The sequence below is a fragment of the Homo sapiens genome, chromosome 12 (assembly GCF_000001405.40).
Source record: "Homo sapiens chromosome 12, GRCh38.p14 Primary Assembly".
Taxonomy (NCBI): domain Eukaryota; kingdom Metazoa; phylum Chordata; class Mammalia; order Primates; family Hominidae; genus Homo; species Homo sapiens.
This window is the reverse complement of record NC_000012.12, coordinates 52,122,738-52,144,820: the sequence shown is the minus strand read 5'-3', so window position 1 is coordinate 52,144,820 and position 22,083 is coordinate 52,122,738. Positions and strand designations below refer to the sequence as shown.

Below are 22,083 nucleotides of genomic sequence, written 5' to 3'. Positions count from 1 at the left end.
ATGCAGTCCAAGAGGAAAAGGAGATTCTCCTCCCAGTGAACCTCTCCCCTCCAGCTGCCATCCAGGCCCAGGCCCCGGCCCCTCTTGCCTGCTGACCACTCGGGCCCCTAGCCCCACCCCAGCTGGTCTCCCTGCCTGGGCCCCGCCCTCCACTACGGGCTCTTCACTAACGGTCAAGGCCCCAACACTCAGCCATCCCACCCAGCAGCCTGACCCCCACAGATCCTCACCACACCAGACCGCTATTGCTGTCAGGAGGTCCCACATCTTCCACCTCCCTGGTTTTGCTAGGCCGCCCATGGCCTGGAGTGCACTCCCTGGTGAAATCTTGTCTTTCCTACAAGGGGAGCGTCCCCTCTCTGAGCCCGGACCACTGTGCTCTGTGGTCTGATGGCCCTTTCCCCGCCCCTACCCCACAGCTTTGTGGTGGGCCTCTGCCACCCTCCAGCCCTCCAGCTTCCTGAGGGCACAGCCTCTCTGGGCGCAGCTCTTGCTGCCTGGCACAGCTGTGACACCTCCATCCCTCCTGCTACTGTGTGGAGGCCAGGCCCTAGGTGCTTCCCACTGTCCCTTCAACAGTCCTGCAACATTGGTGTCCTTCTCCCCATTGTACTTACAAGGACACTGAGGCTACAACCGTTTTAGGGATGAACCAAGGTGAAGAGTGGGGATTACACCTCAAAGCTCGCCCTCCAAAGGAGCCTGCTGAAGATCTGCCTCCAGTGGGTGATGAGGTGGGGAGCCCTGGGGAAGGAGCTGGAGGGCAAACGAGGCCAGGCCCAGCCTTTCACCTATGTCCAAGGAATCCTACCGTGAGGTCCCCAGGCTCCACAGAACCCACACCATGAACTCTGCCCACACCACACACACACACACACACACACACACACACACACACACACACACAGCTAAGCTGCATGTACACACCCACCCAGCTCCTGTACCCCCACACCCCGAGGCCTGTACCCACACACAGACGTGCTCCTCCCCAACCCCTCTCCTGGCCTTCTCCACCCACACCCAGACCTGCCGGGCAGGCCAAGCAGGCCCAGCTGCCGGGAGAGGCTCCAGAGGCTCCCCACCCCCACTTGGAGCCAGGATGCTGGGGTTCTGTGGGGCAGGAGCGCCCCCAGCTGACAGGTGTGGGACACATAGGGGACAAGGACCCAACCCAGGACCCAGACCAGAAAAAAAGAGTCCTCCGTGCCCCAGACCCCCTGGCCACCCACTGCTTCTAGAACTTACTGAGCACCCAGGCCCAAATTAGAGGGCATGACCCAGGGGAAGAGAAGAGAGGAGGTCAGGCCTGGCACCACGCTAGCAAAAACACAGTGGCCAGAGGCAGGCAGCGTGGCCAAAGTGTAGATGTTGCCTCGGGCTCAGTGATGGAGGGGCCAGGGGCTGGAGATGAAGAAAGGATCTCATGCGACTCTCAGGTTTCTGGGACTGGCTGGCTGGGGAGACCAAGGGGCTGGGAAGGCGGCTGAAGAGCTCATCTCAGACATGTTGGGTCTGAGGGACCTGAGCAGCTTCCTGGTGGAGGCCAGCAGGAGGGGGACACTCACGTCTGAAGCTCTGGCTAGTCAAGGGACATGGCAGGGAAGCGGGGAGATTCCTTATGGCCCACTGTCCCCCTGTCTGGCCTCTGCCCCATGCTCGTGCAAGTCTTCTCTTCTCAAAATGGGCTTAGTGCAGATAAGCCTCTGCTAAGGTCCCTTCCTGCCCTTGTGCTTGTCATTACCCGCCCACCCTCTCTCCACCGGGCCTCAGTGCCCTGCAGAGCCCTCCTGAGGACACACACTGAGGACACAGGTTCTATCAACTCCCATTAATTGAGCACTTACTATGTGCTAGGCACTTTGCTAAGGAGGTCACCAGCCTGAGTGAACATGGGGTCACTTTGACATCAATGCCCAAGTCAGAGAGGCTCCTGGCCCTCAGCTGCGTGCTGCAGGGCCTCAGGTAGTCCCTCAGAAAGTCCTCCAGTTAATTTCGGGGCCCCAGGAATACTGCCCTATAAGCAGGAGCAAGCCTGCACTGGCTGTGCTCTGCTTCCCTGCGAAGACACCGCTGCCTCCGTGGCATGAGAACTCTGCTCTGGAGAGCACCCATCCTCCACCCATGGCCAGCTCAGTCCTCAGCCCTCAAAGCCTCAGTTGTCTGTGACCGGATGCTGAGGAGGAGGGATGGGGAGCAACTCTTCCCTCTCTAAACACCATGCCCCAGGCCCTGAGGCCACACTGTTTAGGCCAGAATCTTAGAGGCCTTCAAAAACAAGTCTCCCTCATTCCCTGGTCCCAATCTCCTTAACCTCTAAGGGTCCCCTCTTGGCAGCCCTTCAAGCAAGCAGGGCTGACACTGAGCCTACCCTATCCACTGTCTCCCAGCCCCCTTACTCCCCAAACACCTGCTACACAGACCTCCAGCCTCTTCCACCAGTCCAGACACCAAATGCACCAAATACACCAGATATTATCATTACTGTACCCAACACTTTACTGTATGCTCTAGACTATGCCATTCCCTATATTATCCCTATAATAAGGACAACTGAGGAGGAGACTGAAGGTCAGAGAGGTTAAGTCATCTACTGAGGTCACACAGGTAGATTGGAACCAAGGCACATGCAACCCCAACCCTTCAGGGTAACGCCTGAATCCCCAGCACTGCTCCATGGAGAAGCCGCAGAGCCCGGGGGTCTGCACTCTCTTACCCCTATGCTTGCACTCATGCCCACAGGCTGTCTAGGCCCCAACCGGCTTCCCCCAGCCCTGCGCCCACCTTTCCAGACCCGGCTGCCTCGTGCGTCCTCATTGAAGCCTTTCCCCACACCCTCTGGCTGAGTGAGGTGCTCCTTCTCTGTGCTGACCTCTAATGTGACTCTTTCCTTTCTCACTTTAAGAAAAGTGAGAAAGCATCTTCATTCTAGATGCTGCAGATCCTAAAATACTACTGTGGACAAAGCCCAGATCCCTCCTCTAGTAGGGCTTACCTCCTGGGTGAGGAAGAAGGACCATAAAATAAAAGAACACTGTGAGGGCCGCTATGTGGGCATGCAGCCCAGGCAGCCACCCAGGGTCCCGCTCTGCTGCCTGGGAGTTCTTAATAATTTTTAAATGAAAGTCCCCACATTTTCATTTTGCATTGAGACTACAAGTTATGCAGCCAGTCTTAAAGACAGTATGTTAGGCGGCAGCGGCTATGGAGAGAAATAACACAGGAGAGGGGAATGGAGGGGCAGGAGGAGGGATCATACATTTAAGTAGTGTGGTCAGGGAAGGCTTCACTAGAAGGTAATGTCTCTGAAGACCTGAAGGAGGCGGGAGAGCCAGCCATGTGGTTGAGGGTGGGAGGGGTGATGGATGGAGAGAGCATTGTGGGAGATGGGGGCTGAGAGCCTGAGAGGCTCACATTAAGACCTGGCTTTCCTTTGCTGAGACCAGAAGACGCACATCATAGCATAGTGGGGCACATAGCAAAGTGACATGACCTGATTAAGGATTCAGCAGGACCCCTGCTGCAGGGGCAAGGGCAGAGGCCAGTAGATCACCTTAACACTTTCTTGAAATCACTTTTCTGTCTCCCAGTAGGCCTGTTGGACTCGGGTGGGGAGGAGGAGTGGAGGCATTGGAGGGGATGGCCAAGCATCTGGTCTGGGCAACCACGAGGGCAGAGGAGACACTCAAACGAATCCAGAGACCATCAGAAGAAGACAGAGTGAGCAGGGTGAATGATGGGGAGACGAGGGGCCCACAGATGGCAGCTTTCACCCAGAAGCTGACCACAGGCCCTGCCAAAGTCAAGGGCCCACCCGCAGACACCTACACCCCACCCAATATTGAAGCCCGACCATTCCTACATATTGACAGGGAGGATAAAGGCCTAGAGCTGCCTCTTACCTTCTCCTGCTCTCTGGAATCAGGGCACTTTCTCCTCCTGATTCCCTCAGATCTTCCCACCCCTTCCCATCTCTCTCACAACCTCAGGAAGCATGACAGCTCCTGCAATAGTGAATTAGCATTTCACTCACAGAGGGGACCTCCAGATAGGACAGCACTGCTCAGTCCAGCCTGAAACCAGGGTCTCCTCTGCAGCATCCTGTGTGGCAAGTGCACTCTGCTTGTGCACTGCCAGTGCCCAGTAAGTTACTTCCTCACCAGGAAGCCCCTTCCATTCTTGAACAGCTCAGATTGCAAATCTGCCCACCCATCAGCTCTCTCCAGGCAGGAGATCCTGCCTGGTCTCCATGGAAGACACATGGAATGCAGCGACCCCCTCCTCCATGTGATAGGGGCAGGGTGGAGAGAGAACTAGCTTCTGAAGCACTTCCTCTGTTCTGGGCCCATGGGACACAGGTATCAGCAGCCAGCTATGGTCTCTGCCCTCGGGGAGAGAGGGTACTCTCTCAGATAGATCACTACAATGCAAATGAAAAAAGAAAAGAGGCCAGTTGCAGTGGCTCACGCCTGTAATCCCAACACTTTGGGAGGCCTAGGAGGGTGGATCACTTGAGGTCAGGAGTTTGAGACCAGCCTGGCCAACATGGTGAAACCCCGTCTCTACTAAAAATACAAAAATTAGCCGGGCATGGTGGTACACGTCTGTAATCCCAGCTAGTCAGGAGGCTGAGGTGGGAGAATCACTTCAACCCAAAAGGCAGAGGTTGCAGTGGGCTGAGATCACACCACTGCACTCCAGCCTGGGCTACAGAGAGAGACTCCATCTCAAGAAAAAAAAAAGAATAAAGAAAAGAATATTGAACTTTATTGAGCAATGACCATGTAATATGCACTGTTCTAAGCACTTTATATAAAGCAAATAATTTCATTATTCCCAAAGCCCTAGATAGGTCGGGTTCTGTTATTCTGTTTACTTCACATATGCAACCAACCCAGTCATGCAGATCCTGTCAGTGGATCAGAATGTGAACTCTGGAGCCATGCTCAGAGGAGCAGCCAGCTGAAATTAGCACCTAGCTCTGCCGGTTTGAAGTTTGGGCCAGAGTTCCACCTTTCAATTTAAAGCATTTATCTCTTCCATTGTCTCCAAAATACAAAATGCCTCTTTTTCCCAGAACACCTGGACCAGGTGGGAAGGGGCACAGTACAGCAGTGCCATCTAGGGACAGAAGCGTACACTGCAGAGGTTTCAGTGCAGTGGCACCGGGCCCTGGGGCAGAGACCCAGAATCCCCAGCGCCATTCACCTCCCCACTATGGGGTGCCATTCAAAACTGCACACTTGATCTGCTTCCTAAAGTTACTCGTCAGAAGACAGCCCGCTGCAGAGCGGTGCCACTAAAACTCTGTTGTTTGTTCAAGGGTCCCATCTCCTTTTTAGTATGAATGTAGGTGACTTTAAGAGTTCTGAAACCCGGCCAGGCGCAGTGGCTCAGGCCTGTAGTCCCAACACTCTGGGAGGCTGAGGCAGGCGGATCACTTGAGGTCAGGAGTTCAAGACCAGCCTGGACAACATAGTGAGACCCCCCGTCTCTACTACAAATACAAATACACCGGGCATGGTGGTGCATGCTGGTAATCCCAACTACTCGGGAGTCTGAGGCAGGAGAATCGCTTGAATCCAGGAGACGGAGGTTACAGTAAGCCAAGATCGCCCCACTGCACTCCGGGCCCCACTGCACTCCAACCTGGGCTCCGCTCCACAAAAAAAACAAAAAAGAGTTCTGAAACCCAGTAGTTTAGCAGAAGGACTCATATAGTCCCTGAGCAGCTAAGTTGTACCTGTTTCTGGTGTCAGGCAAACTTGAAAGAGTGACCTTATCAGGACTCCGGAAAAGGAGAGGGTATCCACACACTATGCTGGCAACACTCTTCCTTAAGCTGGGTGGTGGATACATAGATATTCATTATATTAAACTTTGCATATATTTATAGATATGAAATATATTGTTTAAAGTGTATTAATTCTTTAAGACAAACTTTCCATTTCGGACCAACTCTGTATCATGCATTTGAACAGAGCACCCACAAGGAACCACAAACAGCCCTGGAGGAGAAGCCCACAGGGAAAGCTCAGTTTGTGGCTCTGCACCACCCACCGGCAAATCAAATCAGCCCAGAGAGCAGATCAGGAAGTTACATGCAACTCCAGCCTTAGAACTCTGCCCGTGGAGCTGCTGGAGTTCAGTGTACAGAGCTGCATGGGGTAGTTTATTCATTTGAAAAATAATTAGTAAACACCTACTACATGCTAAGCCCTGTGTGAGCTGCTGGGAATCTAGGAGTGAGGTGGACGTGTCTCCTTCCAACAGAGCATGACCTCTGTGTTGGAAATGAGTCCTGCCCATAGACAGCAACAGACAAGATAGAAAGTGGGAGGCATCATAGGGGAGACATGGGGGATCACCTCCTCCTCGGGAAGATCTTGGGAAATGATCGCTTCCACCTTAGGAAATCCAGAAAGGCTGCTCAGAGGGAAAGGCATAAAGCCAGGCCTTTAAAGATGGCTAGAGTTTGATTTGCTGGAAGGAAGAGACTCGCTCTAGAAGGAGGGAACAGTGTCAGGAAAATCCCAGAGGGAGAGGATCCAGGGAGAGGTTTGGGGAACAGCCAGAAGGGGAAGGATTTTAGAAAAGGAATCCTGTATTCTCAGGCTGGAGAAGTAGCTGAGTTCCCCATGACAGCAGCCCTTGAAGGAGTTTAGCCTTGACCCAGCGAGAGCAGGGAGCCATGGGTGGTGTTTGAGCAGGAGAGTGCTCCAGTCAGTGTTGCAGCTGTGTACTGTGTGGTCAGAGCAGGGAGCAACTGGAGGCAGGGAACCCCTGAAGCTGCCCAGTGAGCAGACCCGTGGGTCTGTGTGGGGAGGTGAGCAGCGGGGGAAAGGAGTCCCACCATGGGTCTGTCCTGCCAGTGAGTCTCTCCAGGCCAAGGGGTTTTACTTGGCAGGCCCTCCCCCAGCCAGAGCAGATGGGAGTTAACCAGCCCAAAGCCAAGGGTGCCCATCCCTTTCCTGCCTGGCTCCATTCACCACCAACCCGCAGTCCTCTCTCAACATCTTTCTCAGTCCCGCAGCCCACACTACTTCCAGCCCACTGAGCACCCTCGGAGAGAGGCAGACAGTTCAGCATGCGTTGAGTACCTTTGTGTGCACAGCATCCACTGGGCCCTGAGGGGAGAAGCAGGGAGAGAAGCTTAGCCCTCGCCCTTAGGAGTTTAGATCTGAAAGGACCAGAGGTAGCTAGATGGGAAAGCTGCACTCTACAAGGTGGAACCTTTAGGAGCCCACATGCCCTCTCCTCCCACTCAAAAAAATTCTCCCCACCCATGAGAGATGCCTTGCTTAGATCCAAAACTTTGGTCCTTATAATGGATTGAATGGTGGCTCCAAAAAGGGCTGGGTGTGGCGGCGCACACCTGTAGTCCCAGCACTTTGGGAGGCTGAGGCGGGCAGATCACCTGAGGTCAGGAGGTTGAGACCAGCCTGGCCAACATGATGAAACGCTGTCTCTACTAAAAATACAAGTATTAGCCAGGCGTGGTGTCAGACACCAGTAATCCCAGTTATTCGGGAGGCTGAGGCAGGAGAATCGTTTGAGCCTGGGAGGCAGAAGTTGCAGTGAGCCAAGATCACACCACTGCACTCCAGCCTGAGAGACAGAGCGAGACCCCATCTCAAAAAAATAATAATAAAATAAAATATATATATATATGCACCCAATCCTAGAACCTGTGAATTTGATCTTAATTGATAGAAATGTCTTTGCAGTAGTAATCAAGTTAAGGATCTCTAGGCGAGATCATCCTAAGTTGTCTGGGTAGGACCTAATTCCAGTGACAAGTGTCATTAAGAGACAGGAGAAGACATGGACACATAGAGAAGGAAAAGGTGATAGAAAGATGGAGGCAGAGTTTAGAATGATGCAGCCACAAGCTAAGGAACGCCTGCAGCCATGAGAAGCTGGAGGAGGCCAGAAAGTTCTCCCCGAGAGCCCTCAGAAGGAGCACAGCCATACACACATCTTAATTTGGGACTTCTGGACTCCAAAGCTGTGAGAGACTCCATTTCTGTTGTTTTAAGCCACCAAGTTGGTGGGAATTTGTTACAGCAGCCACAGTAGACTAACACTGTCCTTAAAATGAAAACATCTCTGGGAGAAGAATTCCATGGTTGCAGGTCTTTAAAAATTTCAGAGCTGGAAGGGGTCACAGAGGACGTCAGATCCAGCTGCCCCAGTCTGACACTTGACAGACTTAGGCCCAAAAAAGGGGAGAACCTTTTCCCACAAGGTCAGAAGTAGAAATCAACTCAGAGACCAGGGTTCTGCCAGCCTCCCCTGTGCCCAGGTTCTGTTAGAGAGGAAGAATATTTGCCATTAGGCAATAAAAGGCAACAAGGAGCCAGAGAATGGGGACCTTGGGGTCCCTAAAGACACACTTCCCAGTTTTCGCCTATGCAGTAGAGATGAGACTTTTCTCTTCCACCTTCACTCGAGCCCTGGGGTCTCAGGAGTGGCACTGTGAACACCATCCAGCTTGACTCAGCAAAGTACAATGGATCATAGGAGATAAGTAGAAATAAATAAGAAATAGAAAGAACAGGCCGGGCGCAGTGGCTCATGCCTGTAATCCCAGCACTTTGGGAGGCCGAGGTGGGTGGATCACGAGGTCAGGAGATTGAGACCATCCTGGCTAACACGGTGAAATCCCATCTCTACTTTAAAAAATACAAAAAAATGGCTGGGCACGGTGGCTCATGCCTGTAATCCCAGCTCTTTGGGAGGCCGAGGTGAGTGGATCACGAGGTCAAGAGATCAAGACCATCCCGTCCAACATGGTGAAACCCCATCTCTACTAAAAATACAAAAAATTAGCCAGCCGTGGTGGCAGACGCCTGTAGTCCCAGCAACTCGGGAGGCTGAGGCAGGAGTATGGTGTGAACCCGGGAGGCGGAGCTTGCAGTGAGCTGAGATCATGCCACTGCACTCCAGCCTGGGCAGCAGAGCGAGACTCTGTCTCAAAAAAAAAAAAGAAAAAGAAAAAAGAAATAGAAACTACAGAAGGAGGGTTGGGCATGGTGGCCTGTAATCCCAGCACTTTGGGGGGCCGAGGCAGGGTGGATCACCTGAGGTCAGCCGTTCGAGACCAGCCTGGCCAACATAGTGAAACTCCATCTCTACTAAAAATACAAAAATTAGCCGGGTGTGGTGCCATGCACCTGTAATCCCAGCTACTCGGGAGGCTGAAGCAGAGAACTGCTTGAACCCGGGAGGTGGAGGTTGCAGTGAACTGAGATCGCGCCACTGCGCTCCAGCCTGAGCAATAAAGCGAGACTCTGTCTCAAAAAAAGAAAGTACAGAAGGAGAGGTAGATGCTAAAAACTAGAAGGCATCAAAGACAATGGCAATAAATTGATGGTGATAAGTAATTGATAGGTATTTTCATGCACATACAGATAACACAGATGAGAGGTATATGGGGTGAAAGGTCTCCCCTGAGCTCCAGACTCTTATCCCCACCTGCCTACTCACATCTCCACTGGAATGCCTCATGGACATTTCAAAGTTAACATGTCAAATAAGACTCGTTTCTCCCCTTCATTTACTTTGGGAGGGATGCCCTGCCATGTACCTTGATCACTGGACCCTGAAAGTTTTACCAATTTCATAGTCCTCTGAATCTTTGTACCGTTTTTTTGTTTGTTTGTTTGTGTTGAGACCGAATCTCATGCTGTCACCCAGGCTGGAGTGCAATGGCGCAATCTCATCTCACTGCAACCTCCACCTACCTGGTTCAAGTGAACCAGCCTCCTGAGTAGCTGGGATTACAGGTGTCCGCCACCACGCCTGGCTAAATTTTGTATTTTTAGTAGAGACGGGGTTTCGACCTGTTGGCCAGGCTGGTCTTGAACTCCAGACCTCAAGTGATCTGCCCGCCTCAGCCTCCCAAAATGTTTGGGGATTACAGGCGTGAGCCACTGCACCCGGCCAATCTTTGTAGAGTTTATCTCCCACCATCAGAAGCACACGGTGTCTTGCCTCCAGAGTACTAGCCACTTCTTGCTCATCAGACCCTATTAGCACAATATCATCCATGTGACAGATCAATAAAACATCTGCAGATGTCCAGAGAATCTGGATCTCTTCAAACTCATATGACAGACCGGGTGTGGTGGCTCACACCTGTAATCCCAACACTTTGGGATGCTGAGGCAGATGGATTGCTTGAACCCAGGAGTTCAAGACCAGCCAGGGAAATATGGCAAGACCCCGTCTCTATAAAAATTTTTTAAAATTAGCGGGTGTGATGGTGCATGCCTGTAGTCACAGCTACTGGGGAGGCTAAGGCAAGAAGATCACTTGAGCCCAGGAGGTGGAGACTACAGTGAGCCATGTTCATGCCACTGCACTCCAGCCTGAGCACAGAAGACCCTGTCAAAAAAAAAAAAAAACACCAGGCCGGGCGCGGTGGCTCACGCTTGTAATTCCAGCACTTTGGGAGGCCGAGGCGGGCGGATCACGAGGTCAGGAGATCGAGACCATCCTGGCTAACACGGTGAAACCCCGTCTCTACTAAAAATACAAAAAAATTAGCCGGGCGTGATGGCGGGCGCCTGTAGTCCCAGCTACTCGGGAGGCTGAGGCAGGAGAATGGCGTGAACCCGGGAGGCTGAGCTTGCAGTGAGCCGAGATTGCGCCACTGCGCTCCCGCCTGGGCCACAGAGCGAGACTCCGTCTCAAAAAAAAAAAAAAACACCAAAACTATCATATGACAGCGTGCAGGAGATTTAACATTACCCTGGAGCAAAGCTGCAAATTATATTACTGCCCAGTTCATATGAATGTGAACTGTGTTATGATCCTCTTCTCTGATTGGAATAGAAAAGAATGCATCTGCCAAGTCCATGTTTGTATATTAAGTGTCTGAGGCTGTGTTGATCTGCTCTAGCAAAGACACCACATCCAGCATGGCAGTTGCAATTCGGACTTCTACTTGGTCAAGTATGTGGTAGTCTACTTCCACTCTCCAGATTCTGCCTGGTTTCTGCTAAGACCACGTGGGGGAATTAAATGGAGATATGATGGGGACCACCACTCCTGCATTTTTTCAAGATTAAGGATGGCACTAATGGCCATTCCCCCAGGATGAAATATTGTTTTGATTTCACTCTTGGCTGAGGGTGGTGGGGAGGGGCAGTTTCAGAGGTTTCCACTTGGCCTTTCCCACGCTGATAGCCCTAGCCTACAGGCCAAGGACCTAAGGTGGGGGTTGCACACCCTCTTAATCCCAATTATACATTTCAGGATCAAGGAAATGGCCACTGGGAGTATGTGATTAACTTTAAGCCATTGTAAGCCAGACCTTGGCTAGGACACCTTATTACCCAGCCCCTACTTGCTCCCCGATATGTCATCTATTGCTGTGTAACAAATAACTCCAAAACTTAGCAGCCTAGAACCAAAAACATTTATCCTCTCATAATTTATGTGGGTCAGAAATTTAGGCATGGTTTAGCAGCTGGTTCTAGCTCTGGGTCTTTTATGAGGTTGCAGTTAAGCTGCTGGTGAGGCTTGACAGAGGATCCATTTCCAAGACGGCTCATGTACGTGGCTGCCAGCAAGAGGCCTCAGGTCCTGCACCTGCCCACATGAACCTCTCCTTGGGCTATTCACTTCACCTCATGATATGGCAGCTGGCTGCCTCCAAAAAGACTGATACAAGAGAGGACAGAGAAGAAGTCAGGATGCCTTTTATGAACCAGTCCAGGAGTTGGCAAACTCCAGCCTGCTGGCCAAATCTGACCCAACTTGGGCCAAATCTGGTCACACCCATTCCTTTACATATTGTTTACAGCTGCTTTCACAACTACAATGGCACAGTTGAGTAATCAATTGCAACAGAATCCATATCGCCTACAAAGCCAAGAGTACTTACTCTCTGGCCCTTTTCAGCAAAAGTGTGCCAACCCCTCATCTAGCGTTGGAGGTGACAGACCTTCCCTTCTGCCATAATCTATTCTTGAGAAGTGAGTCACTAGGTCCAACCCACCCTCAGGGAAGGGTAATTAAGCTCATCTCTTGAAGGGAGACGCTTCAAAACCACCACACATCACTCTAACGGTGATGCTTCTTGTTCCTGAGTGTCGAGCTCAACTCAGGCTCCACGTCCAAAAGCCTCAAATGTTTGGCTACTCCCATTTCCCCCATCTACAGTTTCTCCAAGCAAATGGCCATAGGTCCCTTTGGGAAAGGACTGGGGATATCAATCCTGTTAAGGCTGTTGTGGTGTTGCAAGTTCCATCCTCATAGAGACCAAACCTCCTCTTCATTCTCTTCCTGTGCTTCCAGGTCAAGAAACCAAACACAGGGTCATAAGTGCCCAGTCTTATGGTCATCCATCCTTGGTTTCTCCTGATGGCATGAGTTGGGTAGTTTCTGGATTGGCTCCTCATCTAACTTGCCCCTAGGAACACTGTATTCTATTAACCATCTCCTAGCTCTGTAGGTTAGATTTCCTTGGCTGCAACCCTGTGCTCGTTACAATCATCACAAGAGATGATGGACAGGGTCTATGGACAGGGCTCTATCCTCTGCCACCTCACCGCCCCCCCTCCCTGTGCAATCACTGAGCCTGGTCTCTAAAAGCCCCTCCTACCACCAGCCTGGCATGAGAAGGAGGGCCTCCCCACATGTTTAGGGGGTCTGTGCCCCTCTCTCCAGCCCATTTCTTTTGCCTTGGTGTGTAAATGGTGTGTGCTCTGGTCCTGCCCTAAGAACGTATCAGGATAATCTCCTGGCCATACATACTGTATCCCCTCCAGCATGCCCCACTCCCAGAGCCTTTTAGTCCCCTCCTCTACTCTGCCACAGCAAGGCTGGCCTTGCAACTTCACTTAGTGCAATCCGTCTCTTCTGGGCTTCTAGGTTCCATCCTAGTAGTAAGTTGACCCCATCTCCCAGAGTCCTTGCCAAGGGGTGAAACCGTGTCTCTCAGGAGCGTGCTCCCAAATCAGTAAGCTCCTCCCCAGCCAGCCTCACTGCACCAGCCTCTCTGGCTTTTTTTTTTTTCTGTCAGTGGTGCTCACCACCCTCACCTGTCACCACCATGCAGTCTCAGCACATGCTGTTCCCTCTGCCTAGAATGCTCTTCCATCCCCTGCTGACTCTCCAGTTAACTCCTCCCACCTCAGATCCACTAAAGCCACACATCACTTCCGCACAGACACATTTCCAGTTCCCTGTGCTGCTGGCTAAGTCTCTGCCTCTCCCTTGTAGCCTTTGTTGCAGTTTTTCATCATTCGAGGGATTGGCCGACTAATGTCTGTAGGACCCTACCAGACTGTAGGCCCTGTGTGGGCAGGAACTGTTCATCATTGTACCCTCAGTGCCTCGCAAAGTGTCTGGCAGATAATTTGTGCTCATAAAAGTTTTGTTAAGAGAAGAAATGTGGCCAGGTGCAGTGGCTCATGCCTGTTCACCAGCACTTTGGGAGGCCGAGGTGGGCGGATCACGAGGTCAGGAGATCGAGACCATCCTGGCTAACATGATGAAACCCCACCTCTACTAAAAATACAAAAAATTAGCCGGGCATGGTGGCAGGTGCCTGTAGTCCCAGCTACTCGGGAGGCTGAGGCAGGAGAATGGTGTGAACCTGGGAGGTGGAGCTTGCAGTGAGCCAAGATCATGCCACTGCACTCCAGCCTGGGCGACAGAGCAAGACTCCGTCTCAAAAAAAAAAAGAAGAAGAAGAAATGAAAGAGTCAATGAAACAACCAACAGCTGAATGGCTGTTCTGGCCAAGAAGCACAGAAGTCACAGCTGGAGGCAGACAGCAAAGGCGAAGCTGGCAGGGAGGAGGCCTCAGGCTGCCTGGGCTCCTGAGCTGTCTGGGAGAAAGTGGCCTTCCAGGGCTTGTTTGCAGAGAGGCTGGAGGAGAGAGGCATTTGTGCAGGGCCACCTGAGACTCACAGCAGGAGCCAGGGAGGTGATTGGCATTGTGTCGGAACTGGGCAGGTGTGTGAGCAGCACGCCGAGGGCTGTGGGCTAAACCCAGCACTTAGATTCAGCTCCTTCCTTTCCAGGACCCCTAGTGGGATGCCAGATGGCAGAGACCCTCCTCCCCCGAAAGAAGTGAACAACTCCTCTCAGCCTCTCTCTTTTGTGTGTGTGCGTGTGTGTGTGTATGATTTGTTTACTTTTAACTTTTTTATTAAGTATAATACACGTACAGAAAATATATATGTACATATACATGCATTCACAAAAACTAAATGTGCTCAATAAATCATAACAAAGCAAATACCTGTTTAATCCCCACACAGGTGAAGAAAGAGAACTGTTACTACCCCACTAACCTCTCTCATGCCTACCCATCTATCTCCACACTAGAAATTTCTCTTTTTTTTTTTTTTTTTTTTTTTTTTTTTTGAGACAGGTTCTTGCTCTGTCATCCAGGCTGGAGTGCAGTGGCAGGATCTCAGCTCACAGCAACCTCCATCCCCTGGGTTCAAGAGATTCTTGTGCCTCGGCCTCCTGAGTAGCTGGGATTACAGGAGTGCGCCACCATGCCTGGCTAATTTTTGTATTTTTAGTAGAGATGGGGTTTCACCATGTTGGTCAGGCTGGTCTCAAACTCCTGGCCTCAAGTGATCCACCCACCTCAGCCTCCCAAAGTGCTGGGATTACAGGCTTGAGCCACTGTGCCTGGCCTACTACACTAGAAATTTCTAATGTTATAGTTTAGTTCTGCCTGATTTTGTACTTAATCTAACTAGAATCATACAATATTTTTTCTGTCATGTCTGGTTTCTGTTATTCATCTTGTTAAATGTCTCCAAATCCTTATCAACACCGTATCAATGCTTATGGAGCTAGAGGTCTTCATAATACTTGCTCATCCTCCCCATCCATAACAAGCATAATGCAAGCTATATTTATTGAGCACTTACTAAGTACCAGGCTCTATTCTCACTCTTTGCATGCATTGCAGGTAATTCATAAATTCTCATTGCTGTGTAGAATTCCATTGTCTACATACACCATAATTTATGTATACATTTTTTTTTTTTTTTGAGGTGGAGTTTTGCTCTTGTTGCCCAGGCTGGAGTGCAATGGCACAATCTCGGCTCACCGCAACATCTGCCTCCCAGGTTCAAGCAATTCTCCTGCCTGAGACTCCCGAGTAGCTAGGATTACAGGCATGTGCCACTGTGCCCGGCTAATTTTGTATTTTCAGTAGAGACGGTGTTTCTCCATGTTGGTCAGGCTGGTCTCGAACTCCTGACCTGAGGTGATCCACCCACTTCAGCCTCCCAAAGCGCTGGGATTACAGGCCTGAGCCACCACGCCCAGCCACAGTTTTTTGTTTTTGTTTTTGTTTTTTTTTGAGACGGAGTCTCACTCTGTCGCCCAGGCTGGAGTGCAGTGGTGTGATCTTGGCTCACTGCAAGCTCCACCTCCTGGGCTTACGCCATTCTCCTGCCTCAGCCTCCGGAGTAGCTGGAACTACAGGCAACCGCCACCATGCCCAGCTAATTTTTTGTATTTTTAGTAGAGACGGGGTTTCACCATGTTAACCAGGATGGTCTCGATCTCCTGACTTCGTGATCCGCCCACTTCAGCCTCCCAAAGTGCTGGGATTATGGGCATGAGCCACTGCGCCTGGCCTTATGTATACATTTTACTGTTGATGGGCACTTGGGTTGTTTCCATTTTAGATATTACAAATAAAGTTACTATGAACATCCTTGACCATATCTCTTGGTGCTCATATGCATGCATTGCTGTTGGGCATAAGCCTAGGATATAGGATATGAGAATCTTCATCTTTGATATTTAATGTCAAAATAGTTTCCAAAGTATCTCTACCAATTTGTGCAACCCCCAGCAATGTGTGAGAAATTCTGTTTCTCCAAATCCTTATCAATTCAGTCTTTTTTGTTTTAGCCATGCTGATGGAAATGTAGAGCTAGCTATCTCATTGTGGGAGGTTTGTTTGTTTGTTTGTTTGTTTGTTGTTTTTGTTTTTGTTTTGAGACAGAGTGTCGCTCTGTCACCCAAGCTGGAATGCAGTGGCGCAATCTCAGCTCACTGCAACCTCTGCCTCCCAGGTTCAAGTGATTCTCCTGCCTCAGCCTCCTGAGTAGCTGGGATTACAGGCGCCCACTACCACCCCTGGCTAATTTTTGTATTTGTAGTAGATACTGGGTCTCACCATGTTGGCCAACCCTGCCCTCAAGTGATTCACCCACCTCAGCCTCCCAAAGTGCTGGGATTACAGGCATGAGCCACCACACCCGGCCTCATTGTGATTTTATTTTGTATTTTGTTGGTAACTGGTGAGGGTGAACAACTTCTCATCCTTATTGGTTATTTGGGTATTATCCTTTGTAATGTGCCTGTTCAAATCTCTCAGACTTTCCTAGTGGGCTGTCCATCTTTGTCTTACTGATGTATAACAGTTCATTTTTATAGCTTTGTTGAGAAATAATTGATACACAAAAAAAAAAAACCTGCACATGTTTAACGTCTGCAATTTGACGAGTTTGGACATATGCATACACTGTGATACCGTCACCACAATCAAAATAAACATTCATCACTTCAGATGTTTCCTGGTGTTCCTTCCTCTCAGCTTCTCTTGATCATCTCCCCACTCTCTCTCTCCCACCTTCCCCCGTGATCTCAGAGGTCCCAGCGTCTCTGATCTTTAGAGCTCCTGCTTGCATCTCACATCCAAATAATAATAGTCCAACAGTCACAGGTGGTTAAGAGGAGATCTGGCCTTTGCCAGGCCCTCCCTAAAATCCTCTGGGACCATTTCTGAAGAAACTGTCCCGTTGCCAGTGTGTCCTCATGTGGAAGGGCCAGGCTACTTTCTTATGGGCCTGGGCCCACCCTCAATCAAGGTTGCCCCAGGCTCTCAAAACCAAAGAGTCAGCATATACTCAATTCAGACCTGCCTCAAAAGGGATCGAGAAGGTCCCCAGGGATGCCCCTCTGCTCACAGTGAGGAAGACCTTAGACATGCCCGTGCCAAGCAGCTGAGCCCCCACCCTGAATTCCTCCATTCCCGTGAATCCCAATCTCCACCTTCAGTGAGACAAAACACAGCTTATTACCCCCACGCTCTGCCTTCTAGGTTTTGTTGGGTTCCCAAATCCTTATCAACACTGTATCAACACTTATGGAGCTAGAAGTCTCCATAATACTCACCCCTCCCCCAATCCTTCCTCCATCCATAACAAGCATAATGCAAGCTCACAATTATTGAGCACTTACTAAGTGCCAACCTCTATTCTCACCCTTTGCGTGCATTAATTTAAACATCCAACTCTTCCAACACCCATATAGCAGTTACTATTACTATGCTGATGCACAGAGAGGTTAAGTGACTCCCCCAGGGTCACACAGCTTCTGATTGGTGGCACTGCAATCAGTGCCCAGATTCCTGGTCTCTCTGCACCCGAAACTGCTGCAGGGGCCTCTACCACAAGCTCAGGGCTTGCTGCCTCGCTTCCCTCACAACATTGCTCTGCTTCCTTCTTGCGGAGAAAGTCTTGTGAACCCTCCCTTTCTGCCCCGGCTGCTGGGAGACTACAGACAATGCCGATACTCATGCACAGCAATGGTACCACCCCTCGTGGCCACCAGGTCTGCTTCTTCCCTCATTTTCTGTTTTATCCGTAATGATAGACTGAGAATGTAGGAGGCAACATCCTTCAAAGATGTAAAATGCTAGGCCACAGAAAACAGAGACTGTAAAAGGCAGACCCGAGCGGCAACAGATGCCATGATTACGTCTCGAGGCAGCCAAGGGGAAGAAGAAATCTGATCCATTACTATCTGCAGGAAGCAGACTGTTTGCTCTGCAGGGACAAAGTTTTCCCCTTACAATACATTCTCATAAAATTGGCTCACTTGGGCCTTCCTGTAAGGAACGCTGAGGGATGCGATGGATTGGTTATGGCCTGAAAAATCACTTTCGCAGCAAAAGGAAAGCATACTTCATGTGACTGTTGACCAACACAGAGGACACCACGCCAACAACCTCAGGGATGCAGAGTCCTCCAGAAGAGAGGCCAGCGTGGTCCAAGGACACACTCTCCCAGGGCAGAGGGTCTGGTCAGGGCCAGAACTCGGAGTACCCGGCAGCTGGCTGGACAGTTCAGCCCTTCAAAGCCCTGCTCCGAACACCCTCCACCCACTTTTGTTTGCCGAGGAACTGGCTGTCCCTTAAGTCCAGAGACTGGTTGTCCCTTGAGTCCAGGAACTGGTTGTCCCTTGAGAACAGGGACACAATCTTTCTATCTCTGTAATTCAGCCCCTGCCCCACCCTCAACAGCTGAGGTGACTGGAAAGGGTGGGTGGGTGGATGATCCAGGCAGGTCCCTCAATCAAAAGAAGTGGCAGACACTTCTTTTGTCCCCTAGCTTCTGTAGAAGTCATGGAGCCCTAATTGTAGTTGGGCACATGGCTGCCTGTGGTGCTTCCTGGCACCCCTGGAGACTGGGAGAGTCACACAGCTGAGTCCTGAGCAACAAGAGGGGAGTAGAAGTGATAAGCTGGGGACACCCTCTCCCTGCCTCGTCCCCTCTCTCTGGCTAGAACACAGAGGAGGTGGTGGCTGGCCATCTCAGATCAAACTTGTCCATCAGCCTTCAGAGCAACCAGACGGAAAGAGCCTGAGGCACTGGCCCTGTGCAGCTGCTGTTCCAGCCCTGAAAGCCTCCTGCCAAGACTATTATGTGAGAGAAGTCCAAGCTTCCATGTTGTTTAAACCACTGTTGTTTTGAGCCTCTAATGCAACAGACAAGTCTATAGATGAGCTCATGTCCCAGGAGCTACCAATGAAATGCCACTGCCTTCCCCCAGGGCCACCTGGCTGGCACCTGAGCACTGTGTCCACCTGCATGTCTTCCTGGCACAGTCTCCACTACCAACACTCCCAGAGGGAGAACAGCCCCCCACAAGGGACTTAACACCATCCCTGTTTTACAGATAGGGAAACTGAAGCTCGGAGGAATGGCCAAATCTGCCTGAGGGCTCAATAGCAATGGCTGGTGGAGCCAGTCCCAAATCCAGGCCTGCCAGCTGCATGGTGTTTGCTCCCCTGGGAGAGCTGGCTCCTGTTGTTCACCTGCTCAGCCAAGCAGAGACTGCCTGCGCAGTTAGCGGTGGAGGCCCTATTTGTGGGGAAATGCCTGGATAAGCCTGTCTGGAGGCCAGGCCAGCACCTAAGGTCTGCAGGGCAGGCTGTGACCAGGAATCAGAGGGAAGCTCCTTTGCATTATAAAGGGAGAAACAGTGGGGACGGGGTGTTGGGGGCTGGAAAGGAGGGGGAAGGGGGGAAGGGAAGACCGGTGAGAACAATGGCGGGAGGCTGCCTTCCGCACCTCTCAGTGAGGTCTTCCTAAACATCACAAAACACTGCAGTCGTGGGATTTCTGCAGAGCCGGGTGAAGACACTTAGCCTTGTGATGGGGTCCACTTGTGACCCGGCTGCCACGTGAAGGTGGCACATACAGTGGAGGGGAAGTGAGCCACACATTCGGCAGATCTCAGAAGGTGCATCTGGGAATGTGACTCTAACAGGGGCCGGGCCCCACCACAACCCACTGATGTTGGAGTCAGCAACCAGCCCACAGCAGGGCTCTTGCAGGGACAGTGACCCCACATTGCACTGAGGTGCTGCTGTGTTCTGAACCACCTCCAACATCATGGACTACAACAGCCATCACTGTATTATGTTGCAGAGTCTGGGGAGGTCAGGGGTTTGGAATTGGGTGTAGGGTGTGACGGGGTGAAGCCTGGAGCCTCAGCTGGGAGCACTGGAATGACTGGGGGTGACTGGGACGGCTGGGTTGGACTCACTGCTCCAGCTTCTTCACTCCCATATCTGGACGGGACCACGGCTCAGCTAGGACTGTCAACTGAAGCACCTCCAGGGAGCCTCCCCATGGCTTCTCATAGCTTGGCAGTGAGGTTCTCAGAGGGAGTGTCAGAGAGGGACACCTGAAGAACAGCATTTCGAGAGACCCAGGCCAAAGCTGCCTGGCCTTTAACGACCTGCACTTAGAAGTCATGTGGCCTTTGGGCGCTGTGGCTCATGCCTGTAATCCAAGCACTTTGGGAGTCTGAGGTAGGCAGACCACTTGAAGCCAGGAGTTCAAGACCAGCCTGGCCAACATGGCAAAACCCCATCTCTACTAAAAATACAAAAATTAGCCAGGTGTGGTGGCAGGCGCCTGCAGCCCCAGCTACTTGGGTGGCTGAGGCAGGAGAATCGCTTGAACCTGGGAGGCAGAGGTTGCACTGAACCGAGATCGCGCCACTGCATGCCAGCCTGGGTGACAGAGTGAGACTCTGTCTCAAAAAAATGGAAGAAAGGGCCGAGCACGGTAGCTCATGCCTGTAATCCCAACACTTTGGGAGGCCGAGGCAGGCAGATCACAATGTCAGGAGATCCAGACCATCCTGGCTAACACGATAGAACCCCGTTTCTACTAAAAATACAAAAAATTAGCCAGGCATGGCGGCGGGCACCTGTAGTCCCAGCTACTCAGGAGGCTGAGGCAGGAGGATGGCGTGAACCCAGGAGGTAGAGCTTGCAGTGAGCCGAGATCGCACCACTGCACTCCAGCCTGGGCGACAGAGCAAGACTCTGTCTCAAAAAAAAAAAAAAAAAAACGGAAGAAGTCTCTTGGCCTTGCATCCCCTGTGCTCTATTGGTGGCAGCAGTCACAAGCCTGCCCAGTTTCAAGGGGTGGGGACATAGACCCCACTTCCGTGGGAGGAGTGTCAAAGAATGCGGGAGCTTGTTTTAAACTTCCATGCTCCATAACACCATAAGCGACTCCCTCTTGAGGTCTCTCCTTAGCCAGCTCAGGTCTATGATTTCAGCGTGTCCTAACATCAAAAAATAACTCCCCTTCCCACAGCTGATGCTTGGAATTCCCAGCAAGAGATCAAAGGCTTTGATCTGGAGGGGACTTTTATTCTAAAGCAGCTCCTCCCAGCCCCTCTCCCACCACCACCCTTGAGTCGGCACTGGGCCCTGACGCCCCTTCTGCCTCCATGTCAGTGGGCTCGCCAGGCCTCTGCAAGGAGCAGCTTTGGCTGAGGGAGGATGGAACACCTGGGCCATTGTGTGTTTACCAAAAGTCCATCCTGACAGGATCCTGGGAAGAGTGAGGAGAGAAGGAGAGTCTAAGGTCCTGAAGGTCAACTCAGCCAATGTCACCATTTAGCCAGAGGCTGCTCCTCCCAGGAGCTTCTGCTTTATGCCCCAACTACACTTTCCCCTCCTGCCTCACACTGGCTTCTATCACACAGGACTCCATCCAGCCCTGCACCTCTGGGGTTCCTCCTACTTCCTACCGCCAGTCCACTGTGGCCCTCCCTTTTACGGCCAATGGTCCCAAAGATCTATTTAGAAGTAGATTCAACATCCTGTTTTATCCATCCAAGCCAGCTTTTGCTGTGTACCTACTGCCTCAGCAGTGCAGAAACAAACCATTCTAGGTAAAAAAAAAAAAAAAAAAAAAAAAAAGTGGGAGCGAGTGGGGCACAGGAAATCAGGTGCTTGTAAAATCACAGGAGTGGGTGGTGGGTGGCAGCTGGATAGGCAGGAGGCTTCCAGTGGGACTGTTGAGCTCGAGGACACACCCACCCACCACCATGCTGCCATCTGCGGATCAATAATCACTGCACTGCCTTTGCCGCCACCATAACTGCCAGAACACCCAGGACACTCGTGACCAGACACTAGAACACAGAGTTCAAAGGCCACAACCACTTTCTACAACCCTGCTGGTCAGCAGAAGCAGCGGCAGGAAGATGGCCTTCACCACACCAAATCCAGCCGAGCACTGTCTATTAGAGGCGCCCAGTGTGCTCTAGCTGCAGGGAGTTTGGGAAGTGCATTTGGCTTTCTCATCTCAGCAGTCCATAAAGACATGTAGAAGGAGGAAGGATGGGTACTGAGGGCTGGGACACTGTGCCCAGCACACATGAAGGAACCGTCATCTGTGCTCCTGGAGCTCCTGGGAAGCTGGAACCTTCCTTTTCTTCCCAGGGGGGGGTTGGCAGAATTCTCTGTTCTCTGGGCACCATCAGAAGACCTGGTCT

At 51.4% G+C, this 22,083-nt stretch overlaps 2 annotated features.

The window, feature by feature from the left end:
* Positions 1 to 818: an enhancer, noted in NCBI's record as "H3K4me1 hESC enhancer chr12:52537787-52538604 (GRCh37/hg19 assembly coordinates)". NCBI's record gives its function as "activates a minimal SCP1, AML or CMV promoter by ChIP-STARR-seq in naive H9 embryonic stem cells {active_cell/tissue: H9 hESC(naive)}" and the evidence as "EXISTENCE:reporter gene assay evidence [ECO:0000049][PMID:30033119]".
* Positions 13,783 to 14,320: an enhancer, noted in NCBI's record as "H3K27ac-H3K4me1 hESC enhancer chr12:52524285-52524822 (GRCh37/hg19 assembly coordinates)". NCBI's record gives its function as "activates a minimal SCP1, AML or CMV promoter by ChIP-STARR-seq in naive H9 embryonic stem cells {active_cell/tissue: H9 hESC(naive)}" and the evidence as "EXISTENCE:reporter gene assay evidence [ECO:0000049][PMID:30033119]".